The sequence below is a fragment of the Homo sapiens genome, chromosome 5 (genome assembly GCF_000001405.40).
Source record: "Homo sapiens chromosome 5, GRCh38.p14 Primary Assembly".
Taxonomy (NCBI): domain Eukaryota; kingdom Metazoa; phylum Chordata; class Mammalia; order Primates; family Hominidae; genus Homo; species Homo sapiens.
This window is the reverse complement of record NC_000005.10, coordinates 120,080,883-120,089,002: the sequence shown is the minus strand read 5'-3', so window position 1 is coordinate 120,089,002 and position 8,120 is coordinate 120,080,883. Positions and strand designations below refer to the sequence as shown.

General features: G+C 35.7%; 1 annotated feature.

Annotated features, from left to right (window-relative positions):
• Positions 322-522: a silencer, noted in NCBI's record as "peak5434 fragment used in MPRA reporter construct". NCBI's record gives its function as "represses an SCP1 promoter by STARR-seq MPRAs in K562 erythroleukemia cells {active_cell/tissue: K562}" and the evidence as "EXISTENCE:reporter gene assay evidence [ECO:0000049][PMID:32103011]".

The window sequence follows — 8,120 nt, the reverse complement described above, 5'->3', positions numbered from 1 at the left end:
TATGACACATTGCACAAAGGGAGCTAGCTATCATTTCAAACATTTCTTATCTTTGGAAATAGAAGAAGAAATAACTTCATAACTCATAGGGGCATTATTAACATACCTTTTTAGTTTTATATTTTGTAAATTCAGTTTGGCTTTTAATTTGTTTGAAGATCTCAAATGTAGTCACTGTTGATTTCTAAGTATTGATATCTCTGCATCTTGATATTTTACAACTGCACTTTTGACTTCAGCCAGCTTAAAGAAGGGAAATGGCAATTGGCATTTGGTAGTATTCTCTTTCTAAAGTTCTTCAAATGAAGCAGCAGCCAGAAGGATCTTGTCTCTAGAATACTAAACAATAAACTGGCACAGCCAAATCCCTGTTATCACATACATGCATACTTACACACATATCCCACACAATCACACAGTCACACAGGAAGTAGTTGTTAACTTAGTCAAGTTTCTGCAGGTTACAGACTCTTCGTTGTCTTTCAGTAGTCACTAGTCTTGGATAAGAATGATCATATTTTCACTTCCCCCAGTCTGGAAATAATGCAAAAAACCAACATGCGGATAACATTAATGTGCATTATTAAAGTCAAAAAATGTGTTTTTCATCAACAATTAGCATTTTGGCCATGAAACAAATGTTTTGTTCTTTTTGTAGATCACTTTAGTTTCATAATTTGAATCAAATAAATGTTATCAAGTTCACTTCTAAGATGGCCCAGTTTGAATTGTGATACTTGAAATACTTATTTTAGTTGTGCTAAAACGATCTTGTGTTTTAAGTTACTGGAGTTAAATTGTTTCCTTGGACAGAGGCAGAAACACTGTGGGTCCTGCTACTTGACAGAAAATAACATTGTCCATTTGAAGCAGATTTACAGGCTTATTTGAATTGAAACAAACTTTTGACAATCAGTCAAATCAAACACAAGCTTTGTGTAGTTAAAATGTTTGAAAGAGCTCTTCTCTCTCTAGTACTTTACTATTTATTTGTATATGCTGATTTTCATCCTGGGAAAAATCAAAAGCTAAGTATGGCAAGATGGTTTTTCACCATGTCAAGATTCCACTTCACCACTTCCTTTTTTTTTTTTTTTTTTCTTTTGAGACAGAGTATCACTCTGTTGCCCAGGCTGGAGTGCAATGGCGTGATCTCAGCGCACTGCAACCTCTGCCTCCTGGGTTCAAGTGATTCTCCTGCCTTAGCCTCCCGAGTAGCTGGGATTACAGACGTGCATCCCCACGTTCTGCTAATTTTTGTATTTTTAATAGAGATGGGGTTTCACCATGTTGGCCAGGCTGGTCTTAAACTCCTGACCTCAGGTGATCCATCTGCCTCAACCTCTCAAAGTGCTGGGATTACAGGTGTGAGTCACTACCCTCAGCCACCTCCTTCCTTTTTTTGTCTCATATAAGCAGGCTTTTTCAGTGACCTGTAGGTGATGACCTGTAGGTGATGATTCCTCTTATCCCAAAACCAGACAGAGTATTCAAAGACAACAGAAAAATAAAAAATGTTTTCATGCAATTGACTGTAGATGCAGTTTAAGTTATTTACCAAATAAGTGATAGACACAGTAGATTCTAAAATATTTTTGTATTTCTCTTTGATATATATATATACAATTACTGTTGATAAACTCACCCTTCCCTTCTATATTGGTCCCACCGAATTTCACTACTACAATTAGAACTTCAATGTATTCTGAAGGTTTAATCATTGTTGCTTTAGTTATGAACCTTTTTAGAAAAAGTTAGCTTTGTTGTGAATAGGACCTTCCCAAGCAAGGCCGAAAAAAATGTGAGTTCATTTCTGAATCACATTTTTAGCTTAGTTAAATTTAGTTTGCTTGTATCTCATAGAAGACATCAGAATAAAAATCATATTTTAAACTTATATTTTAAATATAATATTATTTACAATATTCTAATAATCTTTGTAGATTAATAGTTCTAACTCATCTTTCACGTTTTTCTTCATGTCCTTCTATAGGTTATCGAATAAAAAGAAATTATTTAATTCTAATTCTAACGTGGGAAAACTGGGTCCATGGTATTCTTTTCTAAAAAGTGATAGAGAAGGTTACTGTTCTATGTCCCATGGCTGAAGCCCATGCCCAGTACTCCTTGTACCAGTGAGCATGAGGTGGCCATGGGATCTGCTCAGCTTTCTGGGGCCAGGATGGAAGAGCTCTCATTGGTGCCAGGCTCCCTAGTCAGTTATAAACCTGACTTTGGGCCAAATTAGGTTTGCTTCTGAAAAGACAAAGACATGAACCTTTTTATTATACTGGAGGTTGTGCTCCTTCAAGAAATGATTCACTTACCCAAAACAAATATTTTAACATATGTATATCTTATTGTTCCACATCCTTAAAGGGATGTGGGATGAGTACAACACACATAAGGACCTCTGCCCCAAAAACACACATTCATGCATCTACACACACAGAACACATATCACTTTCAGCTTCCAGGAATCAGCCGAGCAGGTAGAGAACGAGGAATAAAGTCCAAACAATTGGGTAATTTTAAGATGCTGGTCTCCTACTTGCAGCTCAGGAGGAGGGCTTCGTGAGCAACAATTCTTCAGACAGTGGTTTGGACTTAGGAGTGATTTTAAGATGCTGGTCTCCTACTTGCAGCTCAGGAGGAGGGCTTCGTGAGTAACAATTCTTCAGACAGTGGTTTGAACCTAGCACTTTTGAGGCTATACTCTCAGCTTGCCTAAGCAATGTTATCTTTTTCAAGAGGCTTTTGTGACACAAGTTTAATTACTTAAGGACAGATACTCTACTTCAGGCCACAGAGGGTGACAATTGCTTTTGCATGTTTTAAATATGCTATCTAAGAAAAATATAGTTCAAAGAAACATTTAAATCATCATTCCCTCTGGATGCATACTTTAAAACAAAATGTAAACATTGGTGGTTGTTGCCTTATCTTAAATTTAAAAAAAAAGAAAAAAACTTCTTAAAGTAATCAATTAGAATCAGTTCCTCCAAACAGAGTTTTCATTTTCACCACCTATTCAAAAGATATTTGGGTTAATTCCAGGAGGCAGCGCTTGCAGTGAGCCAAGATCGTGCCACTGCACTCCAGCCTGGACAACAGAGCAAGACTCCATCTCAAAAAAAAAAAAAAGATATATGGGTTAATTATAGCTGATAATAACTCTCAGACACTAAAATCTCTAGAAAACTAGACACTTCACAAAGGATTTTCTAGTATAATCCAACGACATGCACCCAGAATTGGAAGTCAATGTCGTCCAAAGGTTGCGAACTAAAGAAACAGTGTGAGTACAGAAAACTGTAAAAATATCTTAGTTTACAGGATACAATTGGGACTAAATGCCAGTAGCAAGAACCTTTACAGATACATTTATCTGGGAATTCTAGCTCAGCTCTTGCCACTTATTCACCTTATGGCTTTAGGCAAGTCTTTCTTAATCTCTCTCAGATTCAATTTCCTCAGCTGAAAAGTGATAATAATAAGACCTAACTCACAAAGTTATAATAATTAAAACAAATTACACATTTTAAAAGTTTTTATAAACTGTAAATCCCCATGGAATTGTAAATTGGTTTAAGGAAAAGAGCAATAATTAAATGATCATGAAAGGCCCTATAACTTATCATAAAGAAGCCAGAAATACTTCCATGGAATGCATAAATCCAACCTCTATATCAATATAGCAGAGAATTTCTAGAATATGCTATATCAAAGAGAAAAAATTAATGGTTTATGATGTGGAGATATTTAAGCTCTCTTATAAATAAAAAAATACAATTTCATGTACATAGAATTATGCATTACTCATGGCATTCAAAGTTAAAATAATATTTATAAGAATTCAGCAGAGAAATATGGCTCTTTCTAGATTTATTTCTTGCCTTAAGCCCTCATAACTGCTGACAGTCAAAACACTTATTTGCAAATATAAAGATCTTGCATTCATAGAACTCAGTACATTGTTATTTCTATGTTGAAATAGATATTTGGCCTTCTATAACTTAAATTTTTTAAAAAACCATGTAAACCAGAAGCCAATATACGGTGTGAACAGAAAACAAGTCATTTACCTCATATGTTTCTGGCTTTCTAAAATAAAATAACTGCTAGAAAATGAAAGCAGTATAATATCACTCTTTATTTTAGTCTGGGTTCTCCACAGAAACAGAACCAATATGATATGGATATAGTTTATGGCATAAATATGTATATACACACACACGTGTGTGTGAAGAGAGACAGAAAAAAAAAAGATACAGATTTACTGTAAGTAATTGGCTCACATAATTATGGAAGCCAAGTCCAAGATTTGAAGTTGGCAAGCTGGGGAGCCAAGAGAGCCAATAGTATATTTCCAGTTCTAGTCCAAATGCCCGAAAACTGGGAGAGCTGATGTTTTAAGTTCCTGCCCAACTCTGAGTGAAAAAGCAGGAGAAGATCAGTATTTAAACTTGAAGAATATCTGGCAGAGAGAGAGAATTCTTATTCAGCCCTTTATCCTATTAAGGCCTTCTGGGGATTAGATGAGTCTCACCCACACTGGGGAGGGATCTGTTTTACTTAGTCTACCAATTCAAATGTTAAGTGCATCCAGAAACACCCTGAGAGTCACACTGAGAAACAATGCTTAACCAAACATCTAGGTACTCCATGGTCTACTCAAGTTGACATACAAAATTAACCATCACACTCCTCAACTGAATAGAAATAGTCAACTGAATTTTAATGAATAGCTTTCATTCATCAGAGTTCATATTCCAATATTAAACTTAAAAAATATTTAATATTGAAATATCATCTACTTAGAATAACTTTTTTTTAAGTTACAATGTTTATGTAAGTCTACTTGACTGGTTGAAAAATGTATTGGATTACACTTTTCTGTTTTCTTTGGTAAGCATTATGTGGTCAAAGCTCTGAGAGTTGTATACAGAATGTATTATCAATATCACTACTCAGCTATGTGCAAACATCAGTCTTGCATTATCTCCTGACCTAGACAGCATCTGCTGCAGCCCTTTCACAGTGTACAGCAGATGGTCTTCAAGGGCCCATTTGGCATTTTCTTCTCAACTTCCTAATTGCAGGATTATTCCAGGACAGAGCTGATTCCTTCCCTGTACCTGCAGATGTTCTCTTGGAGTATCACTAAGGCAGGTTCTTCATACAGCATGTTAAATCTGCTAATGCTTGTCCTTTATCTATAATGGCCTATAGGACTTTTGGGAGGCCAAGGCAGGAGGATCAGTTAAGGTTAGGAATTACGGGCAACATAGCAAGACCCCATTCTTTAAGAAAGGATATGAAAATTAGCAAGGCATGGTGGTATACGCCCATGGTCTCAGCTACTCAGGAGGTTATATGGCTAATGTTTGTCCTTCTTTTTGTCTAGTCGATAGTCATGGGACACCAGGATATCCTGCCTTCCCAGCCTTGGCTCCATAGGAAAGCAGTGGAGAGAGGGAAGATGTTGCTATGCCATTCTGCCATTCTTTCTCCAGTGGCACAAGGATGGATCAGAAACTTTGGGCCTCAGAATAACCTATGGTGATATGAGGAAATGAGAATCCAGTATCTGCATCTTATAGAGATCTCCAAACATAAAATGGGAAAGGTGAAAACAACAACAGTCTTTCCACAAGTCCTCTTTTTTTAACCTTTTATCCAAAAAAAAAAAAAAATCCACTATTGCTATTCTCATTTCTCATTTTTATCCCTCTGGATTAAATTACCAACTCATATAGGCCTCCTTTTAACCTTGATAAAATTTGGAGGGTCTGGAACTGTGAATGAGACTTATTTAGATTTTGCCTTCTTTTCATGCATGAGCTGTCTCCATACTATTCTCCATCAAATGAAGACAAGAGGCCAATTCTGTTGATTCTATATACTTATTCACAAAACTAGTGAATAATTGATGATAAGTGGTAATCCATCTATTAGCCTACTAAGGAAAAAGTGAAGTTAAGATAAAAAAGTATCCTGGGAATCTAAGTATTGTGGAAAATCTGCTCTTAATAAAGCATGTTTCCACCATTCCAATATTAATTTTGTTATTGAATAATTCAACTGCTATTCAAATTACCTACTGTAGAGGGCTCACATGGATGCAGTCAGATGGCCTGTATTTGGGCCAGAGCTAGAACACTGATGTTCCACTATAGGCTATCAAAAGATGAAGTGTAAATGGATGGGCAAAAGCTTCAGTGTTAGTGAGTCAGGTCAACCATCAGTACTGATGAGGCTATGGGGAGAGAGACCAAGAGGTAAGGATTAACAGGTCCCAGTCAATTTCCTGCAGGCTGGCCTTCTGCAAAATTCTGTGGAAACCAGTCATTGTTTGAGACAATCAATCCTAGTAAATGCTGAGGTGGCAGCGCAGACCACAAGTTCTTTTGAGCTGTGACCACAAGTCTCAAACCCTATTCCCCTAATTGTACAAGTGGAAAGGCCCCAATCAATAAATGCTGAGGTTGCAAAAAAGAGATGGAGACCAAGCTCTGGCACATCATACTGTTGTTATGACACGAGGCTTGGATGCAAGGTCTTGAATGTGGCTGGAGAAGAGCTGACACTTTTTCAGTTATATTGCTTAAAAACCCCAAGCTCAAAAGGTGGGGATTCTGGTATCAGAATCCGATGGTCAGCCTTGCTCAATCCCTGTCCCAGATTTTCATGAGCAACTGGGTACCTGCAGCCGCAATAAATATTGTTCGAAGAGACATGGTCTTGCCATTTTCATTTTGTGTTCAACAGACATATTTTGTTTATTGTTGATGGAAGTATAAATTAGCAGAAATAAAACAATTTTATGTAAGATTATTTGGCATTGTCTATCAAAGCTGTAATACATGTTTTGACCTAGAATTTCAACTTCCAGACATTTACCTTATAGATATATTTATTTGCAAATATATGCAAATGATGTTGACACAAAGTATTTATAGTAGTACTTTTTTATAGCAACAGACTATAATCTAAATGTTCATCAAAAAGGCACTGGTTAAATATATAATGTTACATCTGTACAACAGAAAGTATGTAAAAAAAATAAGAAAGGTCATTTCATATTGATATTAAATATAATAACATCCCAAGATACATCATTTAGGATGTATATGGTGGGACATAGACCACTTACTTTTATTTTTTTGATGTTTAAATGATATGAATGTAGCAAATATATGGCAACTCATGTGATTAAGAATAAATCTCTAAAACCAAAATACTCATTTTGTAAGTGGCACAAATTAGGCAATAAAAATCAATATCATTTGTGATTCTGGCACTTTTCAAGATGAGGTTAAAGTTGTGCCTTACATTATTCATGTAGGCCTCAATTAACCATATTGTTGAAGTACTCAGTTTATAAAAATGGAAAACAATCCAAGTAAGGTGAATCCATAGACTGATTCACAAATACTTTTCAGATTATATCCCAGTGATATTCACAGTCTGCTTACTCATTAATCTTTTAAAATTTACTTTGTAGTTAAAAAATGGAAACTGATACTGAGAAACGTGACTTTTGTGGCAACATGGCAAAGTAAATAGACTAGAACTCAACAGTCTCATGTTCAAATCACAGCTGTGATTTTTGACCATCATTTGATTCCTTAGTTCCTAATAAGCTTTGAAATGAAAACTTGGCATTATCACTAAAATTTCTTCTAGCTTAAATATTTTATGATTCTATTCTCACATAGTGCAAACTCTACAAGAATTTTTTTACCTCATTAAAGAACAATGATATAAACTTTGGAGTGAAGTAAACAGTCATACAGCAAAGAAGATGATGTAGGCATAATATTGCTGATGAAGGTTTCAACTGGCAATTTGATTATTAAGAGATCTGAGCAGTGGAGAACCCACTATGAAATAAAACCTAGTATTTTCCCAAAACTGATCAGAAGTCCAGAGTGAATATGACAACTTTACAGCCAGACACTAGTGTCTTAAGACATTTTAAAAACAAAGGCAACGCCCATATTCACAGCAGCATTAGTTACAATAGCATAAGGTGAAAGGAACCAAGTGTCTATGGATAGATGAATAAACAAAATGTGTACATACATAGGAGGGAATATTATTCAGCCTTGAAAAGG